Consider the following 20550-nt stretch of genomic DNA (forward strand, 5'->3'; position numbering starts at 1 on the left):
GGGATTACATTTTTTATTTCATTTAATTTAAAATAATTTAAATAGTCATGTTTCCAGAGGCTACATGAATTGCACAGCACAGATCTGGAGGAATAAAAGGGAATCCAGTAGCCACCTTCTGAGACTCCATGCCTAAGTCACACTCAGGGGAACTCTGCCCAAAATCTTGTCCAGTTCTGGGTCCTAAGTCTTTCATGCCATTACTGGGGAATTCACTTGATAGGCTTCTATTATTCTCTGTCTCAGGAGGACTCAAGATCAGTGGCTTTGGCCTCTGAGGACAAACAAGCTTATATTCTAAATGGTATGCTGAGCTTTTCAGCAGGTCTAACTATCCCAGAGTAGGAACAACTCAGCACTGCCATCCAGGCTCTTAACACAGTAATCTACCCGTGATAGGGCAAGAAACAAAGAAGGAATCAGTGGTCCTATCGCCTCTTCTCCCAACCCCTGGGCCCGAGGCAGAGAACTTTCCTAGCTCCCATTGTCCCTCAGGGCAATCATGGATAACAGTATTTTTTTTTTTTTTTTTTTTGAGACGGAGTCTCACTCTGTCACCCAGGCTAGAGTGCAGTGGCACGATCTTGGCTCATTGCAGCCTCTGCCTCCTGGGTTCAAGCGATTCTCTTGCCCCAGCCTCCCAAGTAGCTGGGATTACAGGTGTGCACCACCATGCCAAGCTAATTTTTTGTATCTTTAGTAGAGACGGGGTTTCCCCATGTTGGCCAGGCTGGTCTCGAACCCCTGACCTCGTGATCTACCCTCCTCGGCCTCCCAAAGTGCTGGGATTACAGGTGTGAGCCACCGTGCCCGGCTGGATAACAGTAATTCTTGATGGAAAGCCATTCACCTATTGCTGAGCTGTTGCCAAGTTGTTTGTTCTGAAGAAATACAAGAGGAATGGTTGGGTGTGAATGTAATAGTTGGACATTAGGGAAATGATTAAGCAAATATGGCACTCCTGCATCTGACCAGATTTTTCTTCTTCCTTTGCTGATAGTGGCCTGCTCTTCACTCTTCCAAGTATCTTTACTAGTGGAGACTTACCTCTCATGGGCTCTGTTAGTTCCCAGAAAATCACTGAATGACAACACTAGAAACAAAATCATTCTAGTTAACATTTCCTCAAAAGTACATAGTTATAGCTACTTCTTTTACTCAAAATAGTATATTCAAAACTAAACCTATTTGACCATCTCATAGCTCTCAGCTTTTGTTTGCTGGTCATAATAATAATCTTAAGGAAGCCCTTTGTAATTGGACATTGCTCAGAGGTGATGCTGGAGAAGGGAGGATAGGTGTTGTTTAATTCTGAGACACCTTGCATGCTAGACTGAAGTTATACGGTACAAGATAAGCCATGGAGAACTGTGACACATTCCTGAGTACAGTCATTGTTTTGATGATCTATTATTTTGCTAGAATCTACCCTGAAACTTGATGACTCAAAACAACAGTGTATTATTATCTCTCATGATTTTGTGGGTTGATGAGGCTCAGCTAGGTGGTTCTCATTTGGGGCCTGTCATGCAGTTGTAGCCAGACAGCCACTAACTAGAATTGACTGGCCTAACATCCAAGATGGTGCACTGCCATGGCTGGAATGTACTTTGGCTGACAGCTGGGGCTGTGGACTGGAGCACCTGTACATGGTATACATGTGGCTCGAGCTTCCTAACACTATGGTGGTCTCGGGACAGTCATGGTCCTTACCTGGCAAGCTCTGGGCATCAAGACTGAGTGTTCTAAGAGTCCCAGGAAGAACCTGAAAGGCTTTTTATGATTGAGCTCAGAAATCCCAGAAAGTCAATTCCACCATATTCTATTGGTTGAAATTGTTTGAACAAGTCAATAAGCCAGTCCAGATTCAAGAGGAGGAAAATTAGACTTTACCTCTAAATTAGATGAGAAGCAAAGAATTTGCAGTTATCTTTAGTTTACCACATTGATCTTATTAAAAGGAAGCCACCTAGAGAAAATACATTGACAGTTATATTCAGAAAGATTAAAAGGTTGAAAGGCTCCAACACAAAAATCTAGATTTTGGAAATTGCTTGTGTAAAAGGAAAAGTGACAAAACTTAGAGATCAATTACAAAAAATTGCAGAAAACCAAAGATGGTGGGACTGTGTGGAATTACAAGGGAAAGAGTATTACATTTAAGAATAAGTTTAAAAAGGGTTGTATTCTTCCTACATGTCTGGCATATGATGGAGAACAGAGGTTAGAACAGGCACTTCTTGGATGATGGGAAGGGCTGCCTTTTGGGTGACCATAGACAGTTCAGTTCCTGGTGCTTCAAATTTTATGTGTTAAAGCAATCAGAAGCCAGTGGCATGAGAGACAGAGGCCACTAATCTGGTTCTGTTAGGTGTAACAGTACTTGGATGTCGCCAAGTCTATTGGCCTCTGGAACTTGCTGTGCTATATCTATTAACATGGGAAAAACCAGGTGCAAGAAGCCTCTTTCACTCATTTGCCTTCACTGAGCAAGATTCAAGCTGCAATTAGCACAAACAGTTGGCTGGTTTGCCTGTCACTTATGTCTTATCTTCCTCCTCTTATTAAGGAGGTTAAGAAATGGTTTATTGCCTATGACCGTCTTATGAAATATGTCACACTTTCTCATCAGCTCTTATTTCCTGTTCACATGTGGCTTTCTGGTTGGTAAAGGTTTTATTAAATCAGAGGAATTTGAACGGAAAGATAATCATAGTAGCCCACCACCAATTGCCTAGGGAAAGGGAGAGTGTTGAGTAGATTGAAATTGAGAAGTTGTAGTGAGAAAAAGTAAGGCGAAATGTAGATAAGAAAATAGTTACTTGAAAGTCAGCAGATGGAAAATGTATGAGAGGAGCGATAAAAAACCTAGGCTGTAGAAGGAAGTCCATCTAGGACAGTGGTTTCCAATCTTTGTTGTGGTTCTGTGAGAGTTTACTGGCAGTGCCATAAATAACAAAAATATGTGTAGCAAATTAAGAATCACAGAGGCCCTCTGTGCAAAAATGTAATTTTCTTTATTTCTTTACAATTGAAGCCAACTAGACTTAGGAATTCTCATTTCCACCTGATGGTAGAAAAAGATCTCACTAATTTAGAGTTGTTTTGTCCCCACTGGTTCAAGACTCAGTCTCTCTGGGGGTAGTAACACAATCTCTTCAGAATTCTTTCCTTCCAAACCCTGCATTTGTTTTTTCTGAAGGATCAATGGAGTTCTTTGGGGGTGGTGGGGCTAAAGTGGACCGAGCTGAAGAATGGTTGTCCTGGTGTCCCGGGAGGGGTTCTGGTCCATGAGTTATCCTCTGTTCTTGAAAACTTCAGCTAGGACCATGCTTGTCCCATCAGACTAGGTCCAAGGGCTCTTTGGTCTTCTTAGCTTCTGCACTGCCCCCTTTGAGTGTCTGGGGACTCTCAGCTGCTTTACTTGAACACTCTGGGATGCACTGGACTTTTCTCAAGGCAGCCTGTCCTCAGGCCCAGGCATATCTGCTGCCAGGCCTGCTGTTTGGCTCAGGCCATGTTGGACACGGGGGCTTTGCTATGACCCTGGTGGTGTCCAGAACTAGGCTGGGAAGCCAAATGGCATCCCTCTCTTCCAGTCTTCTCCATCAACCTCTTCAGTCAGGAGGAGGCCAGGTGATGCAGTTTGGATATTTGTCCCTGCCCAAATCTCATGTTAAAATGTAATCCCCAATGTTGGAGGTGGGGGCTGGTGGGAGTTGTTTGGATCATGGGGGTAGATCCCTCATGAATGGCTTGGGCCATCCCCTTGGTGATAAGCGAGCTTTTGCTCTGAGTTCACATGAGATCTGGTCATTTAAAAGTGAGTGGCACCTCCCGCACCTCTCTCTCGCTTCCTCCTGCTCTGGCCACGTGACGTACCTGCACCTCCTTCACCTTCTGTCATGATTGTTAGTTTCCTGAGGCCTCCTCAGAAGCCCAACAGATGGCAGTGCCATGCTTCCTGTATAGCCTACAGAACCATGAGAGAATTAAATCTCTTTTCTTATAAATTTCCCAGTTTCAGGTATTTTTTTATAGCAATGTAGGAATGGCCTAACACACCAGGATTTCTCTTATTAGGTGGTGCTGAAGAGTGGAAGCTCTGAGTCACTCCTCAGAAACCTTTCAGGGTCTAGTAAAGAGCAGCTCCCTCCCTCTGCTTCTCCCCTTCCCACCTGCTGGTCAACTCTGTTCCTTGGAGTGGGAACAAAAACAAATAGCTTTACATTACCATACATTCTTCTGTACTCCGTGGTTTATGATGTAAACCTTATGGTCTAAGTTGTCCAATACTTTGGCTTTGGAGGTTCAAGGAAAAAAAACATAAAATACTTCTTCTTTCAAGCCTAGCCTTAATGTTTATAATGGACAGTCTTTCAAAATGTCCTGCCACATGGGCCATAGGAGATGCTTTATTTTTCAGGCATTGGATTATGTTGTGTTGGTCAATATGATTTTGTTTCATGTGCATTATCAGAAACTCTTCCCAAAGAGGGTCCTGGGATCTGATCAGCTAGACAAGTGGAGGAGAAACTGAAAACCCTCAGGGGACAGGGTCTCAGTTAAGTCTCCTGAATGATAAGCATTTCAGAGGTGGGAGGGAGACACCCCGGAAGGTGTCCAGAGGCTAACAATGCTATTTCTGTTTCTTGTAAGTTTTTGTCCAAGATGTGGGCCATTGGATTGCATCACTAGCATACAATGTCAGTGTAAGCAGTAGGCTTTACACTAAAGCATGTTGATGTGCTCAGAGCATTTTTGTGGTGCTGAGACCAGAGCAGATAGGGATACAGGGATGACAGTCTCCACCTTACGGAAGCCTCCTACCCAGGGGATGGAGTGAGACAGGCAGGCACACCAGTTATCCAAGGAAAGGAAATAAAGGGAAGGAGAAAGTCAGTGAAAGTGGTCAGGATGGCTGAGTGAGGGAGAAGGTGACTTGAAGGTCCCAGATAGAACAGTGGTAATAAGGTGAGAAAGAGGAGGTCTTCCAATTCCATTTCTGTGTTGGGCGGGTGTTTGAGAGTCCCACCTGGGTCTAGAGGCCTGCATGTCTAGCAGGACACTGGGTAGGAGTGGCTGAACGGGGACAACACTTAAAAAAGACAAAAATTACGGATTTTATTTCTACATGGTTGCACAAATCAATTTCACTTTCTACTTGTAAACTGCTTAAAAACCTTCATTATGAAAATGGAAGGACGAATTTATGTTCACCATCATAGTGCTTCTGGGCTGGTTCCACAGCATGGAGCCAGGCCCACCTGCTGTAGCTTTCAGAACTGCCATTTGGACACGTGGTTGAAGCAGCCTTCAGTTGGAGGATTCACAGTAATGGCATCACTGTGGGAGCTTAGAGGAACAACTGCTTGCAACCCCAGCTGCACTGGAATTACCTGGGAGCTTTAAAAACACTGCCTTTTGGGCCTCAGCCCCAGAGACTCTGACGTGACTGATCTGAACACAGGAGTGTCATGTCCTCCGGTGATTCTGAGTGGAGTCAAGGCTGTGAGACCTTCTGCTGTATAAAGGAATATTGAGAGCTGGGATTGTTAAGGAATTCTCTTAATGCTACGTCACTGGCCTCTGATGTAAGCCTGCTTTCTCGAGGAAAAGGAACCATAAAAGCTTCTGGAAACAGATTGTTTAAGAATGAGAAATTGTCATCATGCCAGGTTGCAAGACAGCTTTTAGGGCAGATGAGCTTCTGCTGCTCATTCCTTCATCTTTTCCTCCAGCCTGGATTTGTCCGGGGGCAGCTGAGGCTCAGGTTACCTCAATTCTTGAGTTTCTGAAGAGGCATATCCAGGGGTGGGTTACGAGAACAAGAGCCTGCCCAGTCTGAAAGGGATGCAGGAAGGGGCGGTGTGTACTAGAAGGAAGGAAGCTATCATCATTTATTAAAACTCTTCTTGGAGGATGGCCCATGAAGACCTCCAAACAAGCTGGAGGGGCCAGTCACTTGCTGAAGACTAGCGAAGTGGAGGGGGAAAGCCCGAGGGAGCTGCAGACTCGACCACTGCGCCCTCCCCTCCTCTCCCTGCAAGGAGCCCAAGGTGTGATCCTGCCAGGCGTTCGTTCGCTGCATGACCTTGGCCATCCTTCCATTCCCCTGGGTGTGAATTCTCATTGGCAAAGTGAGCTGGTGGGCATAAGTGGGTTTTAAGTTTAAAAATTTAAAAACCCTGTCTGCCCCCAAGTGTGGTATCAAGATTTTATAGTATGACACTTAAATTGCTTTTTTCATCCGGGCGCGTAACAGCAACAATGAAACCAGCAGATAACGCGTGAGTAGTATCAGCTCTGGGCCTGGCACTATTTTATATGTATTAGCTCATTTTTTTTAAAAAACTGTTTTCAACCACTCCATGAGATGAGTGCTCTTATGATCCCTTTTTCACAGAAGAGGAAACGGAGGTACAAAGAAATTAGTGCACAAAGCCAGTCGGAGAGAGCCCCTGGCCAGGCACCAAGCTCCAGAGGTCGCTCTGGCGAGCGTTTGCTTCGGGATCTGATGCCCTGGAGTCGCCAACTCAATTCGCGGGTCGCAGCCAGGCTCCATGGGGGTAGTAGAGCCAGGTCGTAGTGGCTAGGTGAGTTGTCTCAACTAACTCTAGTGGAGCCGCCGCAGCCCTGGAGGAGCCGGGCCGCGACTCGAGAGCGCCCGGCAGCTCTCCAATGCTTTGGAACCGGCGGGACCCCTGCGGGCTACCCGGGGCAGGGCGGTGTCCGCAGGGGTCTGTCCAGCCGCGCCTGCTCCTCCGGGTGGAGAGTTGGGACACCCGGCCAGCTCGCTCGCAGCCCGCGGACTGGCCCAGCCGAGCCGTCTCCGCCCGTTCCCCGCCCCCGCAGCGGCGGGGCTAGAGCCAGAGCCGCGCCCGGCAGTTCCCGGCCGCGAGGGCGGGCGCAGCTTGTGGCCGGCGGCCGGAGCCGACTCGGAGCGCGCGGCGCCGGCCGGGAGGAGCCGGAGAGCGGCCGGGCCGGGCGGTGGGGGCGCCGGCCTGCCCCGCGCGCCCCAGGGAGCGGCAGGAATGTGACAATCGCGCGCCCGCGCACCGAAGCACTCCTCGCTCGGCTCCTAGGGCTCTCGCCCCTCTGAGCTGAGCCGGGTTCCGCCCGGGGCTGGGATCCCATCACCCTCCACGGCCGTCCGTCCAGGTACGGGGAAGCTGGAGCATCCGGGGACTAGGTAGGGGTGAGACGGACCACAGCCTTGACACCTTCGAGTCCCCCGCTCTGCAGGACGCCGTGAGCGTCCTCCCTAAGTTGCACTTGGTTGTCAGAGTGTGTTGTGTAAGAAGGGGATGGCGGTGAGGTCTGCGTGTGTGTGTTTCTTGTGTGGAGCAAGAGTTAACGTTGTTCAGGTCGTTTGAAGGAACTTGCCAGTTGTTCTGGAGGGGGGTTCTAGGTAGGTGTGTGACTTCCCGTGTGAATGGCTTTCAGGTTTTCTATCCGGCTACGTTCTACAGGTTCAGGAGCGTCCCTCTTAGAGGTTAGGCTCAGGACCGTCAGTCTCCTTAACAAGGTAAGGGCTGAGGCCTTAACCACACTGGGGAGGGTAACTTGTTGCCCCTCCAGATAAAGGATGGTGCTAGGGAATGTAGCTACAAGCAAGTAGGCGCTGAGAAGACACTCATTATTTACAACAGTCATGCCCAGCACTTTACAGTTTATAAGCCCTTGACAGCAACTGGTCTTTTACCCTCCCTACAGTCTTGTGAGGAGGGTGCTGTCATCACCCCTGTTTTACAGCGGGGGAAGCAGAAGTTTAGGTGACCAACTTGTTGGAGGATGATGTCCTGAAGGAGGGTAAGACCTCTGCATGCAGCCCCCCTCTGTCTTCCCTCCCACTCGTCCTGCCTGCCAGGGCTTTCTCCTCTGCACTGCCGGGAGGAAGGAAGGCCGCTGGGAAGGCACGCAGATGCTGGCTCCTGCTGGGCTGTCTCTCCACTGCCTTATCTTTGGGGCAGGGTAGCTTCTCAGATGGCCACATTCCTGTGATTTAGCTTTACATTCTAGGAACTGAGGCAAGGGACACCATGAACTTGGGCTCTTGAGGTCATGGAGCAAGGGTCCATTCGTCACGGGAATGTGATGGATGTCTCAGTCGCTGCGGTTTGGTGCCAGGCTTCTGGACATTGAATGTATGAAACAGAACTCCATGACTATTGATGAGCTGAGGAAAGCCAGAGGTGGCATGGGGACGTTCACTGTCCTTTTTGCCATCCAGTTTACCAAGCGGCTATTGGCATTGTTTTCTTTCTCAATCCCTTCTAATTTATTGTGTGATATCTCATTTGATATTTCATTTAATATTCTGTATTCATATCCGATGTTAACGTTTATGCTAGACAGAAAGGTAGAGCCTTTGAGAATGGGGTTTGCTGGGGCAGGGGTGTGGAACTCTGATTTATTTTCAGTCTCTGGCTAGCTGCCAAGCTGCTGTGTGTGAAGCGTCTCCTGCACCCGTCCACTCTCATGTGGCCTCCATGCTGTTCAGGAAAGGATATTTGATCTGAATTCTCACATGACCTTGGCAGGCCCAGAGCAGCACCCCCATTTCTAATAGGCCCTGCTTGTATGTCATAATGTGACATCAAGTTTTTTTTTTATGGTTCTGAAACCTGTGACATCTTTTGAGTCAACCTCTCACCATTGTTGAAACACTGCTTAATAGTAGATTCACTAATTTATTAAAGATTTATTGACTATCTACTATGTGCCAGGCACTGTGGTGAGTGGTGGGGAGACAGCGGTGAATACGACAAGTGAAAACCTCTGTCCCCTTATGGACATGAGTCTTCTTGGTAAGACATAGGATGTCAGCAGTCTCTCTTCAAAAGGGGGGTCTTTGAAATCCGCCCCTTTGTACAAGGGTGTGGATGCACTGGCTACCTAGAGGACACCACTCAGCAGCCCCAATGGAGAGGACGAGGAGATGATGGGCACAGATGTAGCTCTGTGGTTCCCTAGAGAATCGCAGGGCTGCTATTCTCCAAGTTTGTGGTGTCCCTTGCCTCAGTTCCTAGGATGTGGAGCTCTAGGAGGTGGAGCTACACTCTGTGGCTTGGCCATGCACAGGGACCAGGGCAGATGGAAACCCTGTGGCTGGGATGCATCAGTGCGAGCTGAGTGTCCACCTGCAAGCTGGGACATTATGGAGAAGACATCTCAGTAATAAGAGAGGCAAAGCTGGACAATTGCGGTGAAACTACCATAGCATAGTGGGTGGAGAAGTACAGAGATCCTTATATTCTTATGCTACATAATGGATATACTAGGTTCTTGCCATTTTAAAAGAAGTTGTCAGGGGCACCTGTGGCTCACCTGCCATGGCACAGCTCCAGGATGCTACCCATCTGTTGCCGTGAATGGGTGCTTGGTTTGCATTTTCTTCTTCTTGAGGTTGTGAGGTGGGCTGGTGGCACAAGACAAGGATCTGCACTGTCAGCAGCCTTTTTCTCCTCTGGTTGTCTGCTGTGGGTCCAGGAAATGCTGCTGGAGCCTCCCGGCCATGCCTAGTGCAGGGAGCATGTGGGAAGCCCTGGCCCCGAGTTATCTCACCAGGTACTGAAAGGGGCTGGAGCTCTTTAAGGTCCCAGTCGCCTGCATGTTGGATTCTGTGCTGTCTCCTCTTCATGCACATCCAGGAGCTCACACATGGCGGCACGATGGAGACACCTATCACTTCCCAAGAGGACTCATGCCCACGAGCGGACAGGGGGTCTCATAAATTAAAAGTAGGGTAAAAGGAAAACAAGAGCGGAGATGAAGTGGAGTCTGAAATGAGGCTTGACATGTGCAGTGTAAACCCTGATGACCTAGATGCTGCTAAAGTTACTCAAGTGGGGCCGTGAATGTGGAGGGAAGCCTGAGTCTTAGCTCTGCCTGCACCTTAGCACTGCCTGAAGCACTCAGGGAAATGCCAGGACTGGATGCAGAGCAAACAAACTAGCATCTCTGGAGGCGTGCTGGGCACGGGTATTTTCAAAGCCCCCCAGGTAGCCAAGGTTGACAACATAAATACATAAATACTCTTTCCTGTAGGCAGTGGGAAAGAGGAAACCCTGCAGGGCACAGCCAGCAGTGTCTTCAAGATGAAAGCAAAGTGCTCAGGAAAAAAAGCATTCTTGGCACAGAGAGAAGTGGGAAGTTTCTTTTAAAGATCCCTGAAAAAGAGGTGAGAATAGTGAGTTTTCGGTGGTCTCTTGAAATGACCCTCCCTGTAAGCACAGTTCGGTAATCATGGTTCAGCGAGCTGTGAACAGGAAGAGTCTAGCCATGCTGGTCTCTGCACATTTGGCGTCCCAAATGTGAGAACTCATAGATCCCTGAAAATACAGCCAATGACTAATGACTAAGAGTTAAATGAAAAGTTAGATGGTGTCACTTTCCATCAGTGGGTCTCACCTCATTAAAACCCAACACCCCCCTTAATGCAAATATTTTAAAACACCCCTTTTATAATTTTGAAACGATATAATAAAACTTATCTACAACATAAGTTTAAAAAATCAATGTAATACTTAGATGTTAAGGAGAAATAAAAGCAATTTGTATTAAAATTATGCATTTCAGTGTGCAGATGCTTGAGCTAAGCTGAACTACAACCTAGTGAGGTGAGCCATTGCTTTCTATAGTCTGCAGGACAGCTGGCATGGGGTGGGAACAGGTGAGTCTCAGTGGCCATCCAAATGCCACTGAAGGATGAATGACTCTCGGTTAAGGTCTTGATGGTAGCCAAAGGCCATTCTTCTCTCAATTTTCACAGTGATTGCATTCCTGAAAAATTTAGTGTGTATAAACTTGTGCCAACAATATATGTATTTCATATGAATGTAGAAGGGAGTTGGGGGGCTAGGCTTCAAACATTGTAAATATGTTTCCGTCAGTATGAACGTCTGTGAGACCTCTGGAGGTCATGCAGGACAAGTCTTTTCTGAGCAGAACTGCCTGTGTTGTTCCGGATGTCAAGCATCGATGGCCTCCAATGCTAAATGCATCCTGATCACCCAGGGTCCCCTTCCCCACAGGTTCCGAAATGCTCCCTCAAGGGCCATACCCACTCCACTGAGAACCACTGCTTTCCCTGCATTGCTGGGTAGTGAGTGATTAAAGTGCCATTGCAGGCGTGGGTGCCGAGATAGCAGGGCACCGGACATGTCTAAGCCAGCCATCAGGAATGCACTTCCGTTGCTTGCTGTAGGATGGTAGAGGTCGAGTTAGAAATCAGAAAGGTTGGTGCTTTGTGTGTGGGGGTGAAGGGCCACAAGGGAACTTTGAGGGGTGGCAGAAATGGTCTACATCCTGAAGTATTCCTGGTGCACACAGTTGTTGCAATTTATGGAACTGTCCACGTAAGTTTTGTGTGTTTCACCATGAGCAATATGGTGAAAAATATTTACCCCAATAAAAAAATTATAGAAGTGAAAACAATGTAACGATTCTTGTAGAGAAGGCTTAGTCCTCTGAAACTGTCTGTGGATCCCAATCTGAGAAACAGCTGTTCTTGCCTGACTGGGAGGCAGTGCTCCAGGGAGAAAGGTCTCTGGTTCTCAGTCAACTTTTTGACAAGTCCAGTGCAATAGTGGCCTTGGCATCGTAGACCCTGGTGGCTGGAGAGGAGATGTGTTGGAGTTATAGGGGAGGCTGGGAAGCACAAGGCAGGGCATTTAGAAAGGGGACAAAGGACAAGAGATGAGGCCCATCCCTGTCTCTGGGTTCTGGTTCTGTTGTCCAGGAGCCCTAGAAGGTTTGTAGGGGTGAGATGGAAAAGTCAGACTTCAACCTAGAACCTAGTGGTCAAGAGGCTTGGGGTAGGTCCATCCCCATCTGTGGCATCTGGTGACGGTGATCCTGTCTTTCTGTGTCTCATTGCCACTTTTGCCCTTAAAATCCACATGCCTTAGTTGAAACCACCAATCTTGTGGCTTTTCGCCTTGTATTAGCTGAATAATTGAGATTTCATAGCGACACTTGAAACCTCTTGGGAAATTTTTACTTTATCTTCATATCCTTGTGCATCCTCAATGATAAAAATAAAACTTTCCTTCTCCCATTTACATGGGTAAATAAGCCATTGATAACTATGAACAAGGCTTTAGGATTCCTCTACTGATAGGAGCATTGCCAGGCTTGGTGTTTCCTGGGCTTTCTGAGATGGTGAGTGAGCTTCTGTTTCCCTGCTGTGGGAGTGTTTACTCATAGTTTGGTAGAGCTGTTTCTCTGGGGGAAAATCAGAGGTGACCACATTGAACACACAGTTGGGTTTTTGGGTTGTGTGCACATGATAGAGCGTGGGTGACTAATCTCCACGAGATGGAAACCATTGTGTCACCTTTGGAACACACTACAGTGGTCCCCAGCACGCTCTGTGGTTATTTCCACACTTTCCTGCTCTAGCTTGGGTAGGGAAGTTCCTGGGTGGGCTCTGTGATCATTAGGGGTAGGTCACTCCCTCTAATTTGCCCCACAGGTATGAGTGTGTGGGGCTCTGATGCTTCCATTTCTCATCAGAATTGCATAGAGATTATTATGGACATTTACTTAGGACAGTGCCTCTCGGATTTTACCTCCCAGGGATTCCTTCTGGGAAATAAAAAGCAAAGGCTCAACCTAGCACTCCAAAGCAGCCCACTGCAAGTGATGCTTCTTTGAAGCCTCATGTTTTGTCTTAGATCGTGGAGATTTTTCTTTCTGCTTCATAATATAGCCGTGTTTGCTCTAATAGAAAAATAATAACTCCCCTGAGAAAATCTTTGGATGAAATTAGTAACCTAGGGAGATAGACTTCAGGCTCTCTGGCTGTCTGTAGCTTCTCCCTGGGAATTTGTGGATTCTAAGCCAGGGCTTGTGTGAGTATGGAGGTCTAAAGTTTTTTCCATAAGTGTGTGGTTCTATGGCTTTGTAAGTCCCTTTTACCTTCTTTTTCAAACTGACATTTTTGTTTTTAACAATGATGGGGACTTTTTAATAGCTGTATGAATCTTATAACAAAGGAATAACACAGGAGGTCAAGGCTGCAGTGAGCTGTAATCACACCACTGCACTGCAGTCTGGGTAACAGAGCAAGACTCTGTCTCAAAACAAACAAACAAACAAACAAACAAACAAACAAACGGGTAACAGGAAGACATCATAATTATGGGCTTGGTTTCAGTACTGTAACACATTCCCCGTACATGTTTCCACCGATTTTCAGTAGAACACATGGGCTGTGACATTTCATGAGCTAAAGAACCTGCTTTAGCCCTTGTTTTTTCAGGACTCATTCATGGTCACTTCTCAGTTATGGCAAATAAGTTGGAGCCTAATTTTCTAAGTATCTCTCCATTACATCAGATCTACACATATGCACATATTGGTTAATATTTGGGATGAGGGGCTGTATTAAATGATGCTGTAAATGCATTTACTCATTACTCCATGGGAAGGTAGAAGAGTGTGTTGCTATCAGGTGGAAATGTAGAAAGTGCAGTGAGGATTTTCTTGTAAATCTCAGATTTGGGGCTTGGCTATGTCAGGTCCCTGGAAGAAGGAGGAGTCATTTACTGCCGTCTGTTCTCTCCTCTTGGGCCTCTGTAGAGATTTGGCCCTATGCCTTGGCGGGCTCTGCTCTGCAGCTTGGCCAGACACATCCCTCAGCATGGCAAGAAGTGTGGAAGGTCAAGAGGATGTGCCCACTTGGCCTAATCCTAACCCACCAGCACCCCTGTTCTTAACCATGTCCCTCATGTACCTGGGATCCCTGAATTCCCTCCCCAAACACCCTGGACCCTAATTCCAGGGCCTGTGTGGTCATTCCCATGGACTCAACTGCCTGGTTCATAGACTGGCCAGGGCTGTACAGAGGGGGATAGACACAGGTGGACTTCGACACCTACCTGTGTGCATGCTCAGGGCCCCTTCCAATATGGAAGGGAGCTGGGGAGAGGCTAGAGACAGAGGAATGGAGATTAATGTAGCTAGACACAGCAGGAGCCATGCGGTGGGACTGCTCCGTGCAGGTCTCATGGTGAGGACAGCGCAGCCTATGTTTTGACAGACATGGAATACCAGGTGCCAGGATGAGCTTCCCCCAGCTCTGGGCACCTCTGCTGCCGCTGTCCCCAGAAGTGGACCTCCAGCAGGTTCTGATACTATCTGGGGTGCGCCTGCTGTGTGCCACCTTGCCTGTGCCTAGCTTCTATCCTAGAAGGCAGGGCTCACAATGTGGGGGAATTCCTCAGGAATAAGAATGGAATTCCTCAACATTGTGGAGGAACGTTGTGGGAAATTCCTCAAGAAAAAGAAGCTGTTTAATAAATGCACTGTGGCTACACAGCAGGAAAAATGCCTCCTTCCCCTGCACTGGGCCCTAGGCCTTGAGGAAGAAACCTGGGTTCCTGTGACAGCCCCTCTCTCCCCAGCTGTCACTTTTCCCGTGCGTGCACTGGGTATGAAATTCCTTGTAGAGGGACAGGAAGGTGCTGTTGGATGAGGTCAGTATTTCCTGGAAGGGGGGCTTCTGTTGGGGGCCAATATGCTCATTGTTAATTCTTGTACTTAATTTCTACTTTTGTAATTTGTTTCACATTACAGTTTCTCATTCTGGGACTAGTAGGAAATTACTTTATGCCTCAAATATGCATTTTCATTTTGTCTTTAATCAACAAGTAACTTTGTGTGTGTGTTGCACGTGCTGCTGTAGTCACGTTGTGATACGCCAGTGTTACCAAATACGTCATGATCACCAAACAGCGATGGGGGCTGTATTTGGGAAGATCTTCACAATTGCAAGCTTTTGGATGTGATTGTCACATAAAGCCGTGGTGTGCTGCAGTGAATGGACAAGGCCTCCGGAAGTGGGGATGACCAGCCTAGGCCTTGGGTCACCCTAGGATCTGGCTGACTCCCTGGGTCTGGACATCAGCATCTCAGCACTGCCCGCTGTCTTTCCTGGAAGCTGCTATGGAGAGGATGTTAGCCAGTCCAGGGGTTTCACACATAACATAGATATCCTTGCTTGAAGGCTGAACAGGGGGAACCGTATGCTATGGCTTATTAATGTATTGAGTAAGTTAATCCTTTTCTCTTTCTTGTTTTATTTTATGTGGAAAATTCAATCTGAAAAATAACAGTGGCATACACACATCTGTGACTTTTTAATGTTACTGGTATTTTCTAAAGGTACGTTTTGAATCTTACTATAAGTCATTTAAAAGAATTACAATGGACTTTGATTAACTAGTTCTGAATAAGAGAGGTTTCTTTACCTAGTATGCCTTCTGGCAGTAACATTTCTTAGTCTCTAGTCCTATTCCTGTAGTTCCCTCTCCTCAGGGTCATCCCCACCCCTCAACTCTTTCGACAGCCATCTGGGTGTGAACTCTTTATCTAACTCCTTGTGTAGGATTCTACCCTCTCTTATATGATTCCGGCCATCTCCAGACCCCAGTGACGGTTCCCTTGCAATCCTATTCTCTGACCTACACCCAGTACCCTTATTCCATCCTTTCTCTTCTTTGATTCTAGGTTGGGTTTTCATCCCCGTGTGTCTCATGCAAAAATGGTGGGTAGGTAGGTAGGTGGATTCCTTCCCTCCCTCCCTCTCTCCCTCCTTCCTTTCTTCCACAAGTATTTATTGAGCTGTTACAACAGACATGCAAGATGTGTAGGATGGGCCTCCTCATGGGTGTGGGAGAGGGGAGGGTCTGCTCTGCACTGCTTTCTTCCCTGGCCCAGGTAGGGAAGGCCAACAACTAGGGAGCTACCCAATGTTACCAGAGCCAGGGGGCCCAGAGCCAGCAGTTCAAGGCACCTCGGTGCATTGCACCAGGGAGAGCCTGTGTCACTCGTCATGCCTGGCTTTGGAGGAGCAGATGTCTGCAAGGGCGCTGTGGGAAGCTTCTGATCAGAATCAGCTCTGAGATGGTCAGAAATCTCAGAAGCTTCCAGGCTAGGATTGGAAGAATTGACTTCCAGACCCAGGAGGTGCCATAGAGGTGCATGGAGGTGGAATGGCACGGTGCTTATAAACGGCAAGGTAGGGAGCCAGCGCTGGACACAGAGCCAGCTGAACAGTGAAGGCAGAAGAGTAGGGGGCGCTGACCCTCATCCCAGGGGTCAGGCAGAAGGGGCCGATGGGATGGGTCAGGTGCTGCAGAGATGTTCAGTGGGCTGGAGACAGAGGGGTCTTGGCATGGAGAACCTAGGAGGGATAGTGGCCTGGGCAGTGCATCTCAGAGGAGCAGTGAGCTTAGAGGGCACATGGTGGTCGCTTCAGCAATGGATGAGTGGTGGAGACAGTAAGTATATAAATTCTTAAGTGAAGTTTCTGGGGCAGAAAAGGAGGGAAAATGAGGCCATTAGAAGAGTGTGGGGGCCAGGTGCAGTGGCTCATGCCTGTAATCCCAGCACTTTGGGAGGCTGAGGTGGGTGGATCACGAGGTCAGGAGATCGAGACCATCCTGGCTAACACGGTGAAACCCCGTCTCTACTAAAAATACAAAAAATTAGCCGGGCGTGGTGGCAGGCACCTGTAGTCCCAGCTACTCAGGAGGCTGAGGCAGGAGAATGGCCTGGATGCGGGAGGCAGAGCTTGCAGTGAGCCTAGATCGCACCACTGCACTCCAGCCTGGGGGACAGAGCAAGACTCCGTCTCAAAAAAAAAAAAAAAAAAAAAAAAAAAAAAAAAAAAAGAAGAGTGTGGGGAGTCACCTTCTCTGCAAGAAGCTTCCTGGGCCTCCCAAATAAATCCATCCCTCCCCTCCCCCTCCCCCTCTCCCATTCCATACATTTTGGTGCCATTCACTATATAATTCCCAGCAGCTGCTTTCATATCTGGGGCATACTCACAGGGGTCAGTCAGGAGGGCACTGTCCTAGGACTGGGAGCGGGAGGATGTGGGGGTCTCCCCTTTGAGTTTCTGCTATGATGTGATTCCAATTGATGGGCCAACACACCTCTGATACCTTGTGTTATGCTGTGTACTGCCTCAAAGTGAATAATAGCTTGGGATTTAGTTTGTGTAGTCTAAGGAAAATACTTTGTGTTGAACTAGTCAGGCTGTGTTATTGATGGCCATTAAAAGGCCTTGTGCTTAGGTCTTACAAGCTTTTCAAAGGCCCAAAGAAATGATTCAGACAAAAAAAAAAATTAGACTCCAAAATACTAAAAGAAAACTGCAAAAACAGGTGAATTAATGGTGAAAGATCTGTAGGACATAGCAGTAAGGCTACCACAACCCAGCTTTTTGAGGTTGTCTTAAATTAATGTGATATGGGGTGTAGGTATGTTAACATGCTTGATAATGGAAGAGTGAGGATACCTGCTTCTTAAACAGGGCCTGCTCATTTTTTTCTGGCCTCTAGTACATTTCTTTCTGGCAAAACTCAAGCTCTGTTTTCACGGAGATGATGCACTGAGCCATGGCATCCCTAGGTGGTTTGATTCATTTCTGCACCCCGGTGTCTAGCAAAGTGCCACGTGCATGTGTTTAATCAAAATAGCTTGTGGTTGTCAAGCTCTTTGTATTCTTCCCTCCCTCCCTGTGATTTGATTTCCTGAAAGTATCCTTTCCCCAAGGATTATGGAACATACACTTGTTAAACACTGGACCCATTTTCATGATCATTTAAATGTCATGACCTTTCTGACACCTTGATATGGTTTGGCTCTGTGTCCCCACCCAAATCTCATCTAAATTATAATCCCCATGTGTCCAGGGAGGGATCTGGTGGGAGGTGATTAGATCATGGGGGCAGTTTTTCCTATGCTGTTCTCATGATAGTGAGTGAATTCTCATGAGATCTGATGGTTTAAAAGTGTTTGGCACTTCCCCCCTTGCTCTCTCTCCTGCTGTCATGTAAGACGTGCCTACTTCCACTTCCACCATGATTGTAAGTTTCCTGAGGCTTCCCCAGCCATGCGGAGCTGTAAGTCAATTAAATCCTCTTTCCTTTATAAATTACCCAGTCTCAGATATTTCTTTATAGCAGCGTGAAAATAGACTAATACATGCCTCTTGAGATCCTCACAGCAATTGGTGCCTTTAGACCTCTTCATTCACACTTCACTCATGTGTTCTTCCTTCCCCAGGTAGACGCACCCTCTGAAGATGGTGACTCCCTCCTGAGAAGCTGGACCCCTTGGTAAAAGACAAGGCCTTCTCCAAGGTAACAGGGCTGAGTCACCCCAGGGTCCCAAGGCCGGCCTTTTCTCACAAATAGCTGAACTCCTCCACTCTCAGATCCAGGGGCCCTGGACTATCTCCCATTGTATGCAAAAATATTTTATTTCCGTTGACACATTACTCTTTGGGGCAGCTTGATGGTTTTATTAAATTTTGGAAGGAGGCTTCAGCCCCAGTAACAGCCAATGCCTGTTTGCTTTCCCAGGTCACCTTGACTGTGCTACAGTAGAGACCTGGGAAATGATGGGTTCCAGTGCTGTGGCCAAGCTCTCCCCAGTTTCAACCCCTTCCAGGCCTTGCTGTCCATTTTTACTCCACTGTCACCACATGTTCAAATTCTTGCTTTCTGCTCGAGTCAGTACTGCTCACCTCGTTCCAAGAGATCTGGGTCTATGACACTGTGGGTGACACCCTCTGAGCATCTTTTCCGAGCTGTCTGTGGGTACCTGAACCTGCCCCCCAACCTGGCCCTTGCCCTACCTGCCCCGACCTCAGCGAGTCTGGCCCAGTCTGTCCCTGCTTCTCCCCTCTGGCCCCAAGTGTTCTCAAATATGCCCCCGCCTGCCTGTCTGTCACTGCAGCTGGCCCAGCCCTCATCCTCTCTCCCATGAACCTCTGTGGTGGCCTGCTCTCCCTGGCTCCCCTGTCTCCAGTTTATGTTCCACACAGGTGCCAAAATGTCTGCAAAAAATGGAGATTTAACATACACTAGCCCTTGGCTTAAAACCTGTACATGCTTCTCTGCCACCTGCAAATGACAGTCCCATTTCCTCAGCAAACCTCTGCATGTTGTGGGAACTTATGGCTTCTCAGCCTCCCACTCGGAACCCACCTCTGGTTTATGCTCCAGAACATGATGTTGTTGGACCCTCCCCTCCACCTCCTCCAGGCTGAGTTAGCCTCTGTCTCCCCTCCTGCCCTGGGCATGGCTCTTCCAGTAGACACCCCCACATCACAGTCTAACTCTGTGTCCACATTCCCTGCAACTGCTGAGCTCCTGGAGCCAGGCCCTGGGAACCTTGTTCCTGTTTTTGTTCCCAGAGCCAAATAGATATTTGATGTATGATTGTTGAATGCAGCAGTGAGTGAATAAAGACATGAATGGTTAACTGAAAACATTTTATCAAAACTGTTATTTGTCATCAGAGCATGGGCCGGTTTCCAACAGCTAACATTTAGGAGTGACCATTTGCCAGGCACTGTTCTAAGCCCTTTGCATGTGGCCATTCATTTCACCCACATAGCGCCATCAATGACATGCTGTCACTGCATTGCTTGTCAAAAGGGGGAACTGAGGCACGGAGGCTGAGCTTTTACTCAACATGCCATCTATGTTGAGGGACTTCTGACTTGGATAGCCGTTCAACTGCGAGCACTATGGAGGCCAGTCAGGCCTGGCCCTGCCTTGGAATTTCTGTGTTATTCAGGGACATAATGGGGTTTGTGTTGATTTTTGTTGGGAGTGTGTGGGTTAATCTAGGTGCAACCCTCACCTCCTTCCCTTCTGATGTCCTCACTCCCATTGGTCATGTGACCCTTAACGCCCATCCCAAGCTCAGTGCCAATTCCTTGCCCCAGGGTCCTGGGGATTGACATGGATCCCAAAAGCCCGCTGCTGAGAGGACAGGGCCACTCCCACCCCCCTGACTGTTTCCCAGAGCAGCTCTGGGGCAGAAGTAAACTTGGACCCAGGGGGCATAACCCTTTGCCCTTTTATAGTCTATTAGAGGAGGATGAGGTCTGACATCAGCTGGTTCATTGCCCCTTGTGCCCCTTGAGCACACTGGGGCCCAGGGAGAGTCACATCCCTGCCTTGTGGTACAGGCCACCGGCCCTGGACCTGTGATTAAACATTGTCCACAATTAATTTGGAATTATTATCTCGTGATACACTCCATAAAGTTCAGTCACACATCTTCTTTTTCTTCTCCCCTGCCTAATGATCAGACAAGCCAGGTCTTGTGACTAAATGAACCGACAGCTGGCAGTGTTCATCTGATTTTGCAATGCCCTTATTTTGTTGTTGATAAACTAATGCAAATAGCTGGTTGGCCTGGAACTGGTGATTGGGAAACATTTTAACCCTTCTTTCCTTCCTCTCTATCCTAAAGACTTAAAACACACTTCACGCAGTCACAGAAAGAGCTCATAGACCAGACTGCGGGGCTTCAAAGCCTTCTATCTTATTTAATCATCTGTAAATAGTTTAAAGGTAAATATGGTAATAATACTAGTATTCTAGACTATTTTGGGAAGCCAGCTGATGTGAATAAAGGGTCAGAGTTAAAAGATATTGAAGGAATGCAGTTTTACTGCTCTGAGGTAGGTTTCAAGGCTTGAGCCAGGCTTAGAGATCTTTGTCCTGATACTGGGGA

The 20550-nt window shown here is 47.7% G+C and overlaps 1 protein-coding gene across 23 annotated transcripts in view, besides 3 other annotated features; it reads left to right on the top strand.

The window, feature by feature from the left end:
- Positions 1-20550, top strand: part of IL1R1 (interleukin 1 receptor type 1) — a 109485-nt gene that overhangs the window by 65470 nt on the left and 23465 nt on the right. For 8 of the 23 annotated variants that reach the window (XM_011511115.3, NM_001320978.2, NM_001288706.2 and 5 more), the window contains one exon: positions 18082-18158. The gene's annotated coding sequence lies outside the window, so the exon portion shown is untranslated. Of the gene's footprint in view, positions 1-5719; positions 5774-5931; positions 6060-6183; positions 6291-6446; positions 6597-6886; positions 7193-15122; positions 15172-18081; positions 18159-20286; positions 20388-20550 lie in introns of those variants that run through there. The other 15 variants (XM_047444181.1, NM_000877.4, XM_047444183.1 and 12 more) reach the window with 9 other exon arrangements.
- Positions 7750-8044: an enhancer, noted in NCBI's record as "tiled region #1871; K562 Activating DNase unmatched - State 4:PromP". NCBI's record gives its function as "weakly activates a minimal TATA promoter and a strong SV40 promoter by Sharpr-MPRA in K562 cells {active_cell/tissue: K562}" and the evidence as "EXISTENCE:reporter gene assay evidence [ECO:0000049][PMID:27701403]".
- Positions 7750-8104: a biological region, named in NCBI's record as "Sharpr-MPRA regulatory regions 1871 and 11985".
- Positions 7810-8104: an enhancer, noted in NCBI's record as "tiled region #11985; K562 Activating DNase matched - State 4:PromP". NCBI's record gives its function as "activates a minimal TATA promoter and a strong SV40 promoter by Sharpr-MPRA in K562 cells {active_cell/tissue: K562}" and the evidence as "EXISTENCE:reporter gene assay evidence [ECO:0000049][PMID:27701403]".

Source organism: Homo sapiens, chromosome 2 (genome assembly GCF_000001405.40).
Source record: "Homo sapiens chromosome 2, GRCh38.p14 Primary Assembly".
Taxonomy (NCBI): Eukaryota; Metazoa; Chordata; class Mammalia; order Primates; family Hominidae; genus Homo; species Homo sapiens.